This window comes from Homo sapiens, chromosome 3, assembly GCF_000001405.40.
Source record: "Homo sapiens chromosome 3, GRCh38.p14 Primary Assembly".
Taxonomy (NCBI): domain Eukaryota; kingdom Metazoa; phylum Chordata; class Mammalia; order Primates; family Hominidae; genus Homo; species Homo sapiens.
The window spans coordinates 117719499-117738255 of NC_000003.12; the positions used below are offsets into that span (position 1 = coordinate 117719499).

The 18757-nt window shown below is 37.1% G+C and overlaps 1 long non-coding RNA gene across 1 annotated transcript in view, besides 1 other annotated feature; it reads left to right on the forward strand.

Annotated features, from left to right (window-relative positions):
- The first annotated feature begins 434 nt into the window (after positions 1–434).
- The window catches only part of LOC101926953 (uncharacterized), a 74452-nt gene continuing 56129 nt past the window's right edge, over positions 435–18757 (forward strand). The window contains exons 1-2 of the long non-coding RNA NR_188507.1: positions 435–679; positions 6074–6189. This is a non-coding gene — a long non-coding RNA (uncharacterized LOC101926953). The remainder of the gene's footprint in view (positions 680–6073; positions 6190–18757) is intronic.
- Positions 3494–3663: a silencer, noted in NCBI's record as "silent region_14623". NCBI's record gives its function as "represses an Ori minimal core promoter by ATAC-STARR-seq in GM12878 lymphoblastoid cells {active_cell/tissue: GM12878}" and the evidence as "EXISTENCE:reporter gene assay evidence [ECO:0000049][PMID:35858748]".

Below are 18757 nucleotides of genomic sequence, written 5' to 3' on the forward strand. Positions count from 1 at the left end.
TAAAAGGCTTTTTGAGACCCCTGCTGACAGCAGAGGAGAACTGCATCCAGATGTTCATTACTTACTAGAAACTGAATACCTAATTCTCCTCATTAACTGAGACATCATAAATATGTGTCATTTTTGAGATGTGGAAGATACATTCCTATAAGATAAACATATAAATGTAAATTATTGAAAGAAGGCTATTTACATAGGGGTTTTTTTTGCTTAAGGTTTATAGGTCTCTTAAAATTGCTACATGTGTTACATAATTTCAAATTCATATTTTGGTTTATTTTTTAAAAGCATGAAAACTATAGAACTCTTCAGAAACGTATCTATTGTGAGAAAAAGAATACTTAGAATTTTCAAAGATGCGGTATTCTAATAAAAAATAACAATGCTAATTTTATCTGAAAAATACATGTACCTCAATAATTTTATCAAGGGCATGTTTTGTGCTAGATACTACTCTTTATGTTAGGAATATAAGCAATTGTATAAGATACTTACAGATTGCAGTAAGTGGTAAAAAATATAACATGAAGAGGGAATAGTGATGAGAAGGTAACTATATAGGGGAGTGGTCAGGGAGTGCTTCACTGAAGATGTAAAATATGAACTGAAACCTATATCCTGATTTAAAATAGCTTTGCAGATGTTTTAGGTAAATAGCAGCAAGCGAACAATACCAAAGGTAAGAGCAGAAGGTAATCATGTAAACATAAAGGTTGGATATAATAGAAATCAAGCGTGGCTCAGCTTCCACTAGGTATACAAATTGGGTCTTTGTGTTCTCCTCTCTTAAAGGCAGCTAGATGTGTAAAAAAAACTCAGGGTCTTTGAAATCAGACAAACAAAACTTGAGAACAGTCCTTAGGCTACCCTTAATAAACCTGTGACAAGTTTCTGAACCTCTCTTAGATAGCTGTCTCATCGGTAAATTATTGAAGACTGTACCTACTCAAAAGGTTTTTTTGATAATACAAAAAACATACACTGATATGCTATGTGAAATGCCTAAGTATAGTAGGTGCTCAGTAATTTTTCATTATTCTTTCCTTTGATTCAAGGGTTCCCTGGGACTCACCTCACTAGTAAGTCTCAGCTCGGCTGTGAGAGTCAATGAGATGTAGTGGAGTAATGATGTCCAGAGGGCAGGCAGGCAGTTAGGTGTGAAGTTGAGTTAGCGAATACCCAAGAACAAAGATGCCACTTTAGTCCTCTTTGTAAACCCCAGGTCTAACATAGGGCCTGACATAGAGTAAGGATAAATAAAAATGAGACTCAGAAATAACTAGCTCTGGTTAATCCACAAAAGATATTATATGGCCCTAAATTCAAGTGAAAAAATGACCAAGACTTAATGATTTCAATGGTTCCCAAACACGAATGATCTGTGAGACTATGACTTCATTGCTTTGAGCTGTGGAAACAATGATATGGGTAAGTCATGTACCAGCACAAATCCTTAAGAAATGACTTTTGCTAAGAGGTAGTTTATAATTGATCACAGAAAGCTATGCCTATTTGAGCATACCTACAGGTAATTAGCTAAACGTTTCCCAAATGCTGCCGTGTGATGATAAAGGAAAACAACCTTGAAATATTTTTGTGATGGCAATTGCTTTCTGATGTAAGGGAACTTCCTTTATGTTGAGATGGTGTTGTTCCTATATTTTGAAAATAAAACTGCCCTTTCATTCAAGAAATTTAGTGATAGTAAATGGGATATTTTATTAAATTTATTTGGAAAAATAAGAAACTGGCAACTCATGGGGAGAACATCAATTTTATTTAATGTGATATCCATCCCCAGAGAGGTGTGGAAAATTCTGGTATAGCTAATTAAAGCAAGAGTAGATTCAAAGAGGGAGAGGTTTGATGTGAGCTTCACAAGGGAAGGAGGAAGTAGAAATTACTTTTTGCACTCAAGCATACAGGGAAGGAGAGGCATAAAAGACAGCAGCGGGGGCACTGATGCAGAAGTTACATTATGGATTCAGGTCCAATGCAAAACTGACCAAGTAAAGACTTATATATAGTAAAGCCCCCTCTCTTGTGGGGGAGTTGGGAGACTGCAAGCTTTTTAGTAACCATGGATTAATGTCAGTCAGGAAAACTGAGACTGAGGATGAGGGAGATGGGTAGAAAGAAAGACCTGTTATTTAAAATGTCTGCATTATTGTTGATTCTCTGACTCAATTTCTCAAAATCTAACTGGGATAAGAATAAAGCCTAAACATAAAAGAGTAGAGAAAGGTGCAAGGAGAATCAGGTGAGCACCCTAAAAATGTCTTAGTACAGGACTTATCAGGGTTCCTGGCTCTATAGAGATTCATGTTCAACCTCAATTAGCCATTCTGCTTTCCCCAAATTCCAGAACTATCTCCTTCTTAAGACAACTTGACTAGAAAATGAAAGCTCTTTAAACCTTTGCTTCCTTCCTTCACTTTTTCAATTGTCTGCTCTATATATCTTCAATCTAGACTTTCTGAGACAAAAATTATCGTCCCTCATCAGATAAACTACTCAGTGTCCTGTCTGTGCTTCTGTAATCAGATTGCATTATGATAATTTTTACTCACGGATATGTGGCTAAATATTCACACACCATTTTGGAGTGCAGTATATGCTGAGTGCTTAGGTGCTTACCCTTTTTATCCACAAGACCACCATTATCTTGAAGGTCCTGGTGACAATTTATCTCTCTAGCATAGTGGCAGGGCTGGATATGAATCCCAGTACCACCACTAACTAGATGTGTGAATGTGGGTAAGTGATTTAACATATTGATGCCTCTGTTTCTTTACGTATAGGGAATAATAATATTGACTTGCTCCAGAGTTTTTTGTGAGATTAAATATTTAGAAGAGCAGCTGATAGTTAGTAATGACCAGTAAATGTTCGCTATTGTTGTTGGTGGAGGTGTTATTAAAAGTGTAAACTCTGAAAGAGTATTTCCTGGGCTCAATTCCCAGCCCCATCATTTCTTAGCTGAGTTATTTTAAGCAAATTACTTGACCTCTCTGCATCTCAGTTGCCTCAATTGCAGAGATGGGGATGATCAAACTTACTTCAATGGGTTTAGGAAAGACTAGGAAGATTAATATATTTAAAGCCCTTAGAACAACATTGGCCACGTATAAAGTGCTCAGCTTCCTATTATGAATCAAAACTATTTTTGCTTAAATCTTTTTACTCTCTGAGTTATGAATTTAGGTTAGTTCTACATCCAAGATAAATCTCAATTAATTCTTCTTTTTTCTTTTCCCATTTCCTCCTGTCTCCCTCTCTTCTTTCCTTCTACTCTTTTCTTCACTTTTCTCTCTCTCTTCTTCTCAGTTTTTATTTTTGTAATTTGAAATCAATGTGCAAGCCAGAGCTTCTTTAGGAAAGACCATTCCTGAGAGAACAACAGGTAATCACTTTAAGAAAAAAAAAAAAACTATTTTAAAAGAAGTACAGTCCTGTGATACTTTTCTGAAAAAAGGAACATCTGCAGCTATTTGTCCTGGCATAACTTTGCTCAATCAAAATTGAATCAGAACGTTGCTAGGGGAAGTGAAACAGCATGTCTGCCCTCTCCCCTCCATGAACTGCTAAGATTGTGTCTTTTTGCAGAAGTAGGTATGTTGGGTTATCTAGTCAAGTTCTCAAGTAAACTCCTAGTAGTTACGTAGGCGATATATTGAGAATTAATAACATTAGTTCAATCATTTGATGAATGTGAAAGGCAGAGAGAAATATATTTAGTGTTTAAGAATAGCATTCTATTTTATTTTATTTATTTATTTATTTTGTTTTTGAGACAAAGTCTTGCTCTTGTTGCCCAGGCTGGAGTGCAATTTCATGATCTCGGCTCACTGCAGTCTCCATCTCCCAACTTCAATTGATTCTCCTGCCTCAGCCTCCCAAGTAGCTGGGATTACAGGCATGCACCACCACGCCTGGCTAATTTTGTATTTTTAGTAGATATAGGGTTTTACCATGTTGGTCAGGCTGGTCTCGGATTCCTGACCTCATGTGATCCACCCACCTTAGTCTCCCAAAGTGCTGGGATTCCAGGCGTGAGCAATCGTGCCCAGCCAAGAATAGAATTCCAAAGCTACAACTGAGAGTCTCACAGAGGAGAGAAAAGATCAAGGCTGGCAAATACCAGAAGCGAGAATAGAGGTCTAAAGAGGAAAGTGTTTTCTAATAAATTCATCCAAAGACAGAATGAAGACTATCTTGGATTTGAGGGAAGTGTTCAGACATAGGCTAGCTCATTACTAGAGAAGGATGACACATAAAACTGCATAGCACTGAAGTTTAGGTTCAGATGACCTGAGATCCTCACAAGTCTAAGACTCTTGGTGGTCTAATATGCATTTGAGAAAATAAATCATTCAGAATAAAACTTAAAACTCAAATAGCCACATAATTTGAAGCAATTCTGAATTGTGGATGCTTTATTTCCCTTCAGCAATCTAAGACATTTCTTTAATTTTTTTCTACTTTCCTTTACACATATGGCCCAGCCTGTATATGCAAAAGTAATTTACAATTCTAGCCTTCCTAATTTGAAATTCTACAAGTCCAAGAGAGTAACCAGATTATGAAAACACTTGATGAATCGCGCAAACCAGCAGTTAAATACTATAGTTTAAAAACTTTAGTCAAAAATATTTCTTTTCCTTCAGGAAGAAATATGAATGTTAAACATGTGGTGCCGTGTGGAAGCAAAGCTCCATAATTAATCTATAGAGCCATCACCACTGTCAAAAGCAGAAAGGCCCCAGAGGAAATAATTTTTGTATAGAATGATGGCAGCATTAGTGACAGCAGTAATGATAAGACACTGAAAAGTATGTGAAAATTTCCTTTACAATCCTGTGTGAGGTTTAATTATAAAAACTAGTATCTTGGACACTTAACTATTTTTTTTCAGAGGGAATCAGAGCTATTTCCATGAATTAATGTCTTAATCCCCACAACAATGAGGTCGTGGTCATCTAGTTGGTAAGTTGGAGGAAGAGGTTATGGATGGAGGCTCTCTAATTGCAGTACACGTGTGTATCAACCCAGACTACTACCTCCTAGAGCCTAACTTGAGGTATGATTGAAAGAACATCCTCTTCTGGGGAACAGCCACAATACCTACCATATGTTCCTGGAATAATTACTTTCTTTCTGCATAAATGTGAGTTGCCCTGGTAAGACAATGCTTGAAATGCTAAGTTCAATTCTAAGTCCCATCATGAAGGATATGGACCAACTGGAGTACATTCTATACATTTTATCAGTGAAGATTAAAGAAAACATACAATTTCTCCAAAATGTCTTAGGTACTAACCACATAAATACTAGAGAAAAATGAATTTTGTGTATACGTGTTTGTGTGTAAAGAGTTCTGCAAAAATCAATTAAAATGTTTAGGTTAATGTATTATTTTTATGGAAGAAATTTCCACGTATAGTCACTTTATCATTATTCTGCTTCATAAGAACACAGAACCATTGGAGAATTTCCTTCTCTTCCTCTAATCCTTGACAGTATTACACATCAAACTTCTTCAGATTTGGTCAGTGTATTTCCTCCTGTGATTATACATGGTTTCTATGGACTTCCTTTCAGTCTCTAGTATGAGGGGAAATGATAAAACCCATAAAAATAACCACTACGCAGTTTTAAAAGCACTCTCACATTACATTATTGGTTGGAGGTTTTTGTTTTTTAGTCTTAAAGTTATGAAAACACATACACCCATCTACCTTACTATCTGTTTTATTCTACCCTTGCTCTCATCTTGACCTAAGCCAACAAACTTGAAACAAATAAATCTGGTTTGGAAAAGAGAATGTAATGGGTACCATATATGTTCCTAGCTTATCCTATATTTTCCCGAAAACAATCAACATAGATAGCCCGAGGCAGACCATTTCATCGTACATGCAACTTCTGAAAGTAGACAATTATTACCAGAGAACTTATGCCTTACTCATTAAGAGAGAAAGTGTGACAGAAATCACATTGGCACTAGGAGAAATTGACTACTCGGCAAAAATATCTCCTGCCTTATTATGGTCTTCTCTTCTTGTTCTTCCAGTAGAATGACTCCTGCCTGCTACATTTCCCCAGATACCCAGGACCTTCATGCTGTCACTCTCCATGACCTGACCAACATCTATTTTGAGAAATTATTTTATATACTCATTCAAACAGGTGTGTAAAGAATCAACACAGGTTTTAAGAAGCATCAAAGCTTTGTACTCAAATGAAACAGTTCAGAGGAGCATAAACATTAACTTAATAATGCTACTTGTGGGAAGCATATCTTATAAATCCATAGCTAGTGTCTTTGAGAATATAAGCAAAATAAAGGAGATGGTGAGGATTTAGAAATTCTTTTGGGTGATGATGAAAATGGGAATATTTTTGAAGTAGTGTCTGCCACTCAGATGTTTTGAACTGCTATAGAGGATAGATTATGTGAAGTGAAAACAGGAGATGGACCCAAATTACAGACACGTTTTAGTATAGACCTGCATGACACTGATATGTAGGAAAAAAATAAACAGGGCTATAGACCTGCCCAATGGAGGCTTGCTCAGCATCACTGAGTGGTCAGCAACCATAAGAAATTCAGTATCTTTTATCATCACTGCCCTAGGCACATGGACGTAGGCTCTGTCACAGAGCTATTCTGTAAAGGGACACCACACCGAGCTGGGACACCACATAGAGAACACATTCCTGAAATAGACAAGTCCCCACAACTCATATACCACTGAAATAGTCACACCATGCACTAAGGATATCCTATTTACTGTTGTTTAGTGGTTATCATGGGATGGTAGATAAGGGCGTAGACTTGGAGTCACATACATCTGGCTTCAAATCAGACTCTGCCACTCTCTAGCTGCATCACACAGTCTTGTAGAGTCACTTATCTGAGCGCTATTTCTTCAACTATAAAATAAAAAAGAAAAGATACAGTCCTTGAGGGGTTATTATGGGAGTACAATTAGATAACGTATGTACATCCCCTGGGATGTAATCCTTAGTAAGAGATTAAAAATTACAGTGATAATAATGATATTTATGATTTAAAAAGATACTACCAAAGTAGGTATGCTTAACTCAAAGGTAAAGAAATTTTAGATCTCTCAGTCTAAGGCCAATATTCATAGTGGTTTACAGCAACAAGCTTGAAGATCAAATATTTTGGAAAAATTACTCAAATATTTTACAACAAAGTTTCCTATCTAAAAAGCGATCAATAACCATGCCTGTCTCAAACTTTTATTGTGCAGTTTAAATAAACACATGTAACCATGTAGAATGGTGCCTGGCACAGAGGAAGCAGTACATAAATGTTAGCTATTATTCTTACTGCTCTTCTTGCCCACAGTGGAGGTGAGAGCATGGCAGAAATATGAAGACTCATCCTGGTAAAAAAATGTCACAGTTCTCTAAAAAAATGGTGAGAAGTGAGTGCTGGAAGGGAAGGCTTCATTACTTTCATGCTTGAAATACTCTTTCTTTGGTCACTCACTGGTTCACTTGCCCAGTTAGCAATACAGGAGCCCAGCTGAGATCCCAGCAGTCACACTCCAAAAGTTGCTTCATTAGGACCTAGCCAGTTTGGCAACACTTAATCACAACTGGATCTTTTCTACTGAGAATCTATAACTAATGTCTAATAATAAAACCATCTGTTACTTTTTATAATACGGTTGTAAACAACATCAAGAGTTTGGCAATTAAAATTCTCTGTTAGGTAGTCGTTCACATTTACATGGAAATCATAAAGACACAACAAAATCAATGCCTAAAAGAAGCTATGACATTGATATTTCCAGGCTCAGAACATCATTACCATCACCATTACTACCACCACCACCACCACAACCACCTTAACTTCTTCCTCTTTTTTTCTTCTCCTCCTTCATCAGCTACCATTTATTGATAATCTATGATGTATCAGGAATTTTACAAATAATATTTCATGAAATTTTATTCTCAGCATATTCATTATAACTTCAGAAAATAATTACCATTATATCCAGTTTACCTATTAAAAAATAACTGAGACCCAGCAAGATTAAGTGCCTGACTCCACATCATAAGATGGTAAAAGGTAGAACCTAGGTTTAGGCTCTGACTTTATGACTCTAAAGCTAGTGCTCTTTTTATATCGTGCTATACAAATATTATGATAAAATCCATGATGCTATAGTGGAGCTGACATGAATTCGAAATCTCATGGTTGCTTTCTTTACATCAGTACTATCGTGTGTGTGTGTGTGTGTGTGTGTGTGTGTGTGTTTAAAAGCAGACATACTTGGGCCATTTTCACTTCTGAATTTAGAAACTACATTATACACAGCAATACAGTCATCCTACATTTACCATATAGAGCAAGACCCATTTTGACACACAATAGTAAATTATTGAGTGAGGCACTCAACAATTAAACACAATGAAATGTTTATAATAATGTATCACAGAGGGCCAATTCCAACAGTGATCTTCAGGTAAAACTGTTCAACCTTTTGCTCTAAGACCATTCCATTGTGTGTTGTAATTAATAATTCCACACATGGATATTGATGACAGAATTCAAATAAGAAATCAGCAGCACCTCAGAAACTTCTGTCCCCATCAGGTGAGCAGAGGGGCTGGCTCGATGAGCTCCATCAGCTAGGATAATTATTATGAATAAGGAGGTGTGTCACTTATCTGTGAAGGACAGGGGTACCTGTACCAAAAATTACACACAAGTGGCACACAACTCAGTTCACTGGAACATCTGAAATGCTCAGAGTAAATGCAAATGGCAAAATAAAACATGGCTGATGCATTCTCTGCAGAAAAAAAAAACTGATTTTGGAAAGCAGGATAAGGAATTGAATAATTGCTAAATATGAAAAGTCAAAGAGTGGCCAAACTCAGCCAGAGGCCAAGAGGAGTCACTGCCAATTTTCTAGGAGAAGTCACTGTTCTAATACTTACTTGAGAGTTCTCAAGTATTCTTTTCCCTCTTTTCACTATTTTTTCTCCCATTTTGCCAACTAAATTCTACTAAACACTGCACTGCTAAGAACTCACTTTCTACAACTTTAAAATGCTGACATCAGAGTAGAATTGGATGACGCAACAGGAAAGAAGCCATGTATTTTAATATCCTACACTCTAGAGCACACCAAAAACCATGCCAATTCATACCTTTGAGTCGATCTTTTAAGGGGAAAAGGAACAAAAGAGAAGCGCTATGTGTGTACAGAGAGGTGTGCTTCAAACAATCAGAGATGCGTATCTTAAGATTCCCCTCCAAATGTATTTAATGTAAATTAAATAAGGAAAAACACATTAAAGAAGATTGTTCTTTAATGGAAATTTATCATGGATTTTGCTGTAAAGAGAATAATATTCTTTTAGTTTTTTCTTATTAAAATCAAGACTTAAATAGGCCCACTTACCTTAAAGATATAACTAAACATCACATAGAGATACAAATGTAAACATTTAAATATTTCTTAATCCTAGGTTACTTATTGGTTATTTAGAAATTCTGGATAAAGACTCACAAGTCAAGCGGGGGTGATGGAAGATATTGAAATGTCTCCCCGTGGCATATTCAGTGAAGAAAGTCACTACATGTTGACAGATTCCAGTAACCATTGCTGTGCTGTAAAAATTGGTTTCACTTACCTAGAAAAGGAAAACAAGAATAGGAAAAATTAATAGAATTCTTTGAATTTCAAAAGTTGTGTTTGTTCCTTGCGTCCCTTTTCCTCCCTTTCACACTCTCTTCACTGTTCAGGAAATAGCCTGGTCAGTATCTCAGTATTGGGGACAAAGATCACACATATGTAGTGGAAAAGACGAGTGCCCTACCCTTGGCAATGGAGAATAGCAAGGTCCACCCCTCCTCATACCTTGCTCTGCAGGTGTCTCAGGTGGGAGAAGCAAGACAAAGTCTTAACTTTTCTTCTGAAGGTAAAGGTAGGGGTTAGAGCTGTTTGGGTCAGAGTCATGCCTACTCCTTGGGAAAGTCCTCCCAATCTTGCTTTTCCTACCTCAGCATCTTTGTATATGATCCCGTGATCCCTTTTCCCTCAACAACCCCCACCCCACCCACCCTGCCATTCAGTCCTATTGTTAGCATTCTGTTTGGAAGTAACCTTCTTAAAAAAGAGCTTACACACTTTTGAAGCCCATGTCAGGGGCTTCCTCTGTGTGCCTAGCTCTCTGTATTTATTGCTAAAGCAGTAGTTATGACACTGCCCTCTAGTTAAGTGCTCACTTGCCCTCCATCCCTGCTTAGAATATGAGCTCCCCGGGGGGCAGGCTGTATTTTACTTTATTTTCTTTCCACAGCTTCCAGAGTATAATATGGGACATAGCAAATTTCAACAAAGATTGTTTAATGAACAAATGAACTTATTAGTAAGTAAAGGGAGTCCAGGTCAGAGCAAAAGGAAAGATAGAGGAAGCTGACTGCATAGGATGAATCTAGGATCTAGGCTTTAAGAAAGAAACCTAAAGATGTTATCCTGTTTCCTACTTGTTCATCTTCTCAGTTTAGGAAAACAATTACAAATCAACATAGAGGATCTGGAGTACAACATTAAGTTTTTCAGGGACAAAACATGGTACTCGGTGCTAGGTCCACTTGAAGATCCAGGGGAAGGAAAAAACTTCTGCATGGCTTCACTCAAAAATGTCCAGGTCATGTGTCTGTCAATTACTAATTATGTGATTTGCATAAATTGCTCATTATCTAAGCCCTGTTTATTAGATGCAACTAGAAATTATCATCTTTGGCCTGTCTACATCACTGTGCTTTAACTTTGTATTTAGAAATAACTATAGTCGCACAGGAAATTATAAAATTAGGACATAGAGACCCGTGAATCCTTTCCCCAACTTTCCCCAATGATAGTATACATAATGGTAGTACAGTGTCAAAACCAGAAAACATTAGAATTTGTTGAGAGAACCAAACGAGGTGATGGAAATAAATATGGAATTCATCGTATTTTTATTAGGTTAATTATTCTTTATTTGATAATTCATTATTAAAAGCTTACTATATGCTAGGTATTGTGCCGGACACTTGGGTTATATTTGTGATCAAAATAAGCCTGTCCCTGGCCTTCATGAAGCTTATGCATAGTAGTAAAAAATAGAAAGATGAAACAATTACAATGTTGGTCAGTAAGTTCAATTCGTACATGGGTAAAAACAGAATACCTAACTGAATCTAGAAGGGAGGATGATCTAGTGAGATAGGGCTTCCAAAGATGAATTTTTAAGTCTAGACTCAAATCTGAATGATAAGTTGGAATTGTCCACGTAGAGAACTAAGAAAATATATTCAGGTAGAAGGAAGCACACACTTGAAGTCAAAGAGAAGGAAAAAAATAATCCAGCCTATTTTAGTTTGAACAATAACAACGTATCATATTTGTTTTGCAAAAATGGTTGAGTAGTGGCAGTTTAATATGATTCAATCTAATAATTCTTCATGGCTATGTAAGGGTTGTCATGAAGAAGTAAGCTTAAAAAAAATGAGAAAGACTTGGATAAAATAGAGTCTAGCTGGCCAGGTTAAGGAGTTTATAATTTATTCTAAGGGCAAAGGGGGCCAGGGATGAGTTTTAAACAGGGGGGTATTATAATCAAATTGGCTTTTTGGAAGATTATTCTGGCTGCCTGTAGAGAAATGAATATGATGGGCAAATGTGGAGGTGGAGGAGGGGAGACCAACTGGAAATTGTAGCATTAAGCCAGAAAGATATTACAGCAAGTTAGCTGAGACTGTGGACTAAGGGATAGATGGAAGTAGGCAGATTGCTTCAGGGATAAAACTTACTTAATTTGGAGACAGGCTGTATGTATATATAAAAAGAAACACAATAATAAAGGAGATACCAAGGTTTCTAGCTTAAGCAATACACACATGTACACACATAAATGTACATAGTGGTATAAATCATGAAATGAAACTACAAGCAGAGGAAAAGCTATAGGTGAGTTATGATAGTGAAAACATTTTGTAAACTGTAAAGTGCTATGAAAATGTAAGTTAGAGGTATTTTCCTACATGTGGAGTAGGTGTAATGCATGCATATAAAATTCTCAGAAGGATTAGAAAAATAAGTGGCCTGCTTTTTGAGAGCAATGTTAGTGCATGGCTTCTACACAGTGTATCATAATTGGTTTGTGGTGCCATTTAGTAATGCCAAGACAATTCGTTAAGAGAATCAAGAACAAGCAGGTGTTTCCATTAGAGCTTGCTCTAATAAACACATGCACACACACGTTCACACATAATATCTGACCGAGGGCAGAGTTAAACTTCCTGAGGCACCCAAAGAACCCATTCCAGAAAACCATAATAGACACAGCACTTTTAACTCAAGAATGGAAACTAATCCTAAATGGAAAAGAAAACTCACTGGGGAGGTAGGTAATTAAATAGACCATGATGCTTATTATTTCTCACCACAGTCATTTAAATAAATATCAATCAACAGACCCTATACTCTGCTATTGTTTCATGACATAAATGAAATAACTTAAGTCATTAGTCTCAAGGTGCCAAAGATCAATTAGATTATTGCTTTTCATTAAGATGGTTTGTTATTGTGTACTATTGAAGGGCACTCAGTTGATTACAAGTTACTTGAGACTTGGTGACACGTCTTGCTTATCTTTGAGTTCCCCAGAGAGTATAGCATGAGGCCTTGCACTTAACAGGCACTCAATAATATTGTTGAAGTTTAGAAACTTTATTAAAAATGAAACGCGCTGAGTTGTACTCAATGTGGTTTATTTTCACTCTAACAGTATTGGTGATGATTACTTTTAAAAGTGCTATTGTTGGTAAGGTACTTTGTCAACTTTTCGGGAAATGTCATTTACTTTAAGTTGGCAAAATGTAATTTATCAAAGGGAGGTAAGGGGAGAAAGGAAAAGCTTTGAGTAAATTCCAAGAAATGCATTTCTTGGAAGTAAGAGGCTTATTAGTGTTACTAATTCATAAAACATGCCTAACACAAAATCTTGACAACATTCATACAATTGAGTTGTTTTTGGAAGTTTCTTTTAAGAATCTATTGCCAATTCCCTCTTTTAACTCATAGCAAACTGCTAATAAGACTTTTTTAGGGGGGAATGTGTAGAGGAATTCATAGCCATCAATAACACATTATTATTATTATTATTAATTTTTTTTAGACACGGTCTCAAAAAACTGATGCCTAGGCTGGAGTGCAGTGGTGCAATCACAGCTCACTGCAGTGTCAACTTCCTGGGCTCAGGTGATTTTCCCATCTCAGCCTCCTAAGTAGCAGGGACTACAGGCACTCACCACCATACCAGGCTAATTTTTTGTACTTTTTGTAGAAATGGTGTTTTGCCATGTTACCTGAGCTGGTCTTGAACTCCTGGGCTCAAGCGATCCACCCACCTCAGCCTCCTAATGTGTTGAGATTACAGGCATGAGCCACCGCACCTGGCCTATTATTATTAATTTTAATTAATTTTTATTTGTGGAGAACCACTTTACTCCTCACTTGATGTGACAGGTGGTGCCCATGCTGCCTCCACCTTAGCCCAGGATGATTTTAAAGAACCATGAGATGAAAGCCTTGCCCTCTCTCTGGCTTGTGGCATTTCAAATGATTTCATGTTAGTAGAGATTGAGAAGTTGACATGACTGTTAGTCTTGTTCCAAGCTCCACCTCACAGCTCACTGGTTGGGTGGCATTACCAGCCTGAGGGCTGAAGAAGCAAGGCAGAGCAGCTTCTGCATCATCTCTGCAGCTTATGAAGATGTTTTGCCAACACAGTGGTACTGAAAAGACAACAGCAGCAGACACACCCAGACAGTTGGTGCTTGGTCTGGATTTCATATTGCTTTGTAAAATGTGTTTTATATATTGGTGACATCCTACAATTCCCCTGATCTTTGAGAAAATTAGTCTGTTATCATGAATTGATGTAGTTAGAAATTCAGCACTAAAATTCCTTGTGCTTTTTAGGGGAAAACACCTGTGGTGCTCACCAATATTTATCCCATCAGGAAGTTAGGAGGCCCTGACCCGGAAAAGACCTTTCGAATGTAGATTGGAGACTGCTTCTTAGCTAGGGTTATTAAAAGTCCACACACATATTTATTAAAATCCACATACTCATTAAAATAAATAAATAAAATTTAAAAGTCCACATACTCTCTGGATAAAGTCTTGGAAACACACAATTGGACTAGGGGAGATGGTCTCCGATAATGGTTAATCTCTCCTATATCTCCTGAGCATGGACCTGTTCCCACTACTTAACTTTGTATAAAGGTTGTTATGGTGATAGAAAGGGAAGAACTGTGAGAGATTGCCAAGATGTTGCCATGTGAAAGAAGGCCAAACTTAGAGAAACTTTTGCAAAAATCGCTTGAAGCTGGGATTGATCATTACTGTGCTGCTTACTCCCAAGATGTTGACAGGCATTAAAAGGACAGCACTCCTCCAATTTTATAAGCAAGTCTTGCAATTTTGTGAGACAGTTGTCTCATTTTATTAATCTGGTGGCTTGAGGGAGGCTACAGCTCTTAGGAATGGGGGAAGTGTCCAGTTCTAGGAACAACTGATGCCTACCTGCATTATTCAAAATGGCCCTATATAGGAGCTTCCATGATTCAGTAAACTAAAACGATACACTCTTGTCTTATGCATTTAATGGGGCACCTTTAATATTTTTCACTTGGAGTAACCAAATAAGAGAGTAAGATTTCAAGGTTGAAGGGTGAAGCTATGGGATGGTGGGAAGACAGTCATAGTACAATATTCTACGTTATTTGACAAGGTTCTCCGGTATAAAGAGAAAAGAATCTTTTGCTTAAATTTAGTCTACTGCCTATACTACGTGGTCTCGTAACCTCAAGGGAGAAGCCAGTTTTACTAGGGAAGAGAAGGAAATGGGAAGTATCCTCACTCAGTTTTTAGTATTTTCAACTATGCAGCATCCCACCTGAAATCTCATTGAGTGTTAGCACTAATTGGTTGTAGCATCAGAAAAGTCGGCTGATTCAAGGAAGTGGCATTTGGAGGTCATGTGAATGATTATGTGCTGCTGATTAGTCATCTGAAGAGGTTAAGTGAGAAATATTACCCTTTCTCTTGTTTAGAATAGTACATTACAGATTCTGTCTGAGCAAAGAGGAGCAGCAAGCTGGTAAACCTGAAATACTCATCCAAAGAAACCAACGTCGTCAACAATTCTGTGAAAAATGTGGTTATGGTAGGGCTTCCAACTTATTTCTGGAACTATTAATATATCTATTCATGATGAGAAATCATTTTTGTTAAAACTGAGTACAATCAAGCAACACCACATATATCTCTGGAATGAATGTATACAGCTCAGAAATATTCACTAGGATAATGTTTTACCTAAGTGAAATAAACTTGCCAGCACACACACACACACACACACACACACACACACACACCCCTGGCCCTCACAGTGAGAAGAGGCTTTGGTTTCTTGCTCAAACTTTTGCGAAGAATGGAAGTTCTGTGGAGTAGTACAAACTCAAGCAAAAGAAGTCCTAAAGATGGCTCCCTTCCATCAACTTGCTCCAGCTTTAGGCTTCTAAAAGGGTCCAAAGAACAGCTCCAATAGGAACAATTCATTATTCTAAACTTGTTTCCTTTCAGTAAAAATGGGAATGGAGATTATGCAACATGCTTGTTTATTGACATCTTCAGACCATACTGACATCTGCTTATACCATATTGAGTGCTATCCAGTAAAATTCCCCTATATTTCCTGTTCCACTTCCTAGGTTCATCCAATCTGCCTTCTGGAAATAGCGATCAGCAAAAGTTGTATTTCATAATTGTATTATTGGCTGAATTATTAATTGAAATGAAAACAACATTTTAATGGGCTTAAAAGTCGTTTGGAAATGAGATAAAATGTTCTAAGCAGTGCCTGCCTAGACGCAGACCTAAAGGAAAGCACTCTGACAGTTTGATTATTATGCACATTAGCACAATCGAGTTGGCTCCCAGTTCCTAGAATAACATTCTCCTCTATGCATAAATGTCTCTCCTCATTGTTTGCTTTTCATTGCATTTATGTGTGATGCCTCAAGGATAATTCTTTCCTTCTGAGTAATCTCACATATTATGTTACTGCAATACTATCTCTATCGTTGCTGTCATAAATGACTTGCTTCTTTTGCACCAGTTGAGGAGAGAAACCCAAAATCACAACTCAACCCTCCAAACTGGATCTTTATAGAGACCAACCAGATCTATATGACCTAATGCCTGTTACCTCTCTGACCTCATTTCCTACTACCTCCTCCCCATTTTGCCCATTCTAGTCCAGTCACACTGGCATCCTTCCTCTATGCCAAACTCCTTGACCACACACCAATACAGGACTTTTGCATTAGCTATTACCTCTGATTAGACAAGTCTTCTCTACTCCCTTTCCTCTTTCAAGTCTCTGCTGAAATGTCAACTTCTCAAAGAGGCTTATCCTGACACTATTAAATACTGAAACATGACCCCTGTGACTCATTTGAACTCCTGTTCCCTTAAATGGCTCTACTTTTACTTTTATCCCTAGCACTTTTCAGTTACTAACCTAGCAGATAATTTACCTTTGTATTTTGTTATTTCTGCCTCCTGTCTAGAATTTACACACACACACACACACACACACACACACACACACACACAGTATACATATATAAGTATATAAAGTACATGTATATATAAATGATATATAAAAGGTACATAATACATATGTATGGCATACATATATGGTATATATTTGTATACATATGTGTGTGTATGTACATGTGTGTCCATAAACATTTGCTAAAGGGTTAATGAAACAGTGGGCTCCTTGGTGCATCCGTTGATTCGCTTCTTTTCAAAACTTGTATCTCTTCCAAGGAATAGATCATTACTTGCCCTTTCCCTCTTTTAGAATTTGTTTATCACTGCTGGCACCAAACACTTGTCTTATTTTGCTGATCCTGATTTTTCTCCTTTCTTATGGTGTGGTTAGCCCTGCTTTCTTTCTTTATTATTAATCAAGTCTTCAAATCTCACTGTCAGTAACTATAGCAAGAAGGATATATCACTGGCAGAAAACAAGATTAAGTCTTGAATGGGTAGAATTGAAGGAAATCCAGGTACTATCTTTTCTGATCTCATTACCCATCAACGAATCAATGGAAATCTCTTCGCACAGACCTAGAATTCTAACTCACAAGTCACCCAAGCTGGGAAGATCTTCAGATTTATTCTCTCTTTTGCATGCAGGCCATGTAATTTAGTAATAGCTACTCAACTACCATTGACCTGCTAATTAATCCATGGATTTTTGTTGTTGTTGTTGTGCCTTTAATCATTTCCCCTGATAACAGAGTCAGTTTCGAAATACTCATTTTCTGTTCAGACTCACCAACTAAATGCTACTAGAGTTCCGTAATAATAAAACAACGAAATATATTGACTCCCTGCCAACTTGTTCTCTTTCTCTTCCTTTCCTATGTGTCAGCTGGTGTTACTATGCAGATGGAATACTGAGAGGGGAAAGGAACCACTAGTAAATGAGTAGTTTGCATCACAGGTGAGGGTGAGAAATGATTCATTATTTGGGTCAAGAAACAAGTCAGTCCTGTTCTCTCAGAATTGAAGGTTTAACTGTCCTCCCAATTTTCCATCATTAATTTTGAATTAACCTGACAATAACTGGTTGAGACCTTATGCTTAGAGGCCCCTTTCCTGAGAACATGTGGTTGATTCTCCTTTTCCATTGCCAAGTAACAAGTGATACACATTTTATGATGGGGCCATATAGTACCTACTAAAAATGTTGGTAACATAGTTACCCTACATAGAGTCCATCCTTTGATTTAAAAGATGTCCAATTTCATATATTGCTGAATAGTAACTGAAGTGCTGGCTTCTGTTTCCTGCTGTAAACAGTGTATCTACAGTGTGCCTTTGAAAGTGTCAGTTCACCTTTCTGAACCTCAGTAGGCAGAATGGAAAGAACTGCCCATTTATCTGCCTTCCAGGATGTTGACGAGTTTATGTTTTGTCACGTGCAAGGGGAAATTCACACCAACTGTTATGATTTCCTCTGAAATCACATAGAACTTAATTTATTTCTTATTCAATGACCGAGAGAAAAGAAACTGGGAGGTTAAATGATATAGTTACTCGACCTCTAGTTACTGCAATCAAAATGAGTAGCTCTAACTTTATCAAGCCAGGATTATACATCATTAGCAAACAGACTAGAGAAAATTGTGCTTACTGTTTAGTTTTCCTTCATATGAATTACTTTTGTACCAATTCAGGTTTCCCATCAACATAGTGAGGGCATCAGAAAGCGTAGCCAAGAGTTTGAATCTTGCTTGCATTGAAGCACTACAAGGAAGGAAAGGTCTACTATTTGGCTTTCACCACGAGAACAGAAGGGTCTTTATTAAGATAAAGTTGAGAGGGATTCAATACTATGACCACAACCAGTGTGACTGATTTTCTTACGGGCAAAACATTCAATGAGTCCCCTCCTTTCCAAGTCAGTCACTTTATGAAGTACATATATTTATTTCAAATAATACATTCCATGGTCAAATACATTTTTAGGACACCCTGCTAAGAATTGCCTTTTTGTCCATTTATAGTGTTTTTGACTTTGATACTGATCACTTCCAAATGTTTACTTTATTCTCTAAAACAAAGTTTTA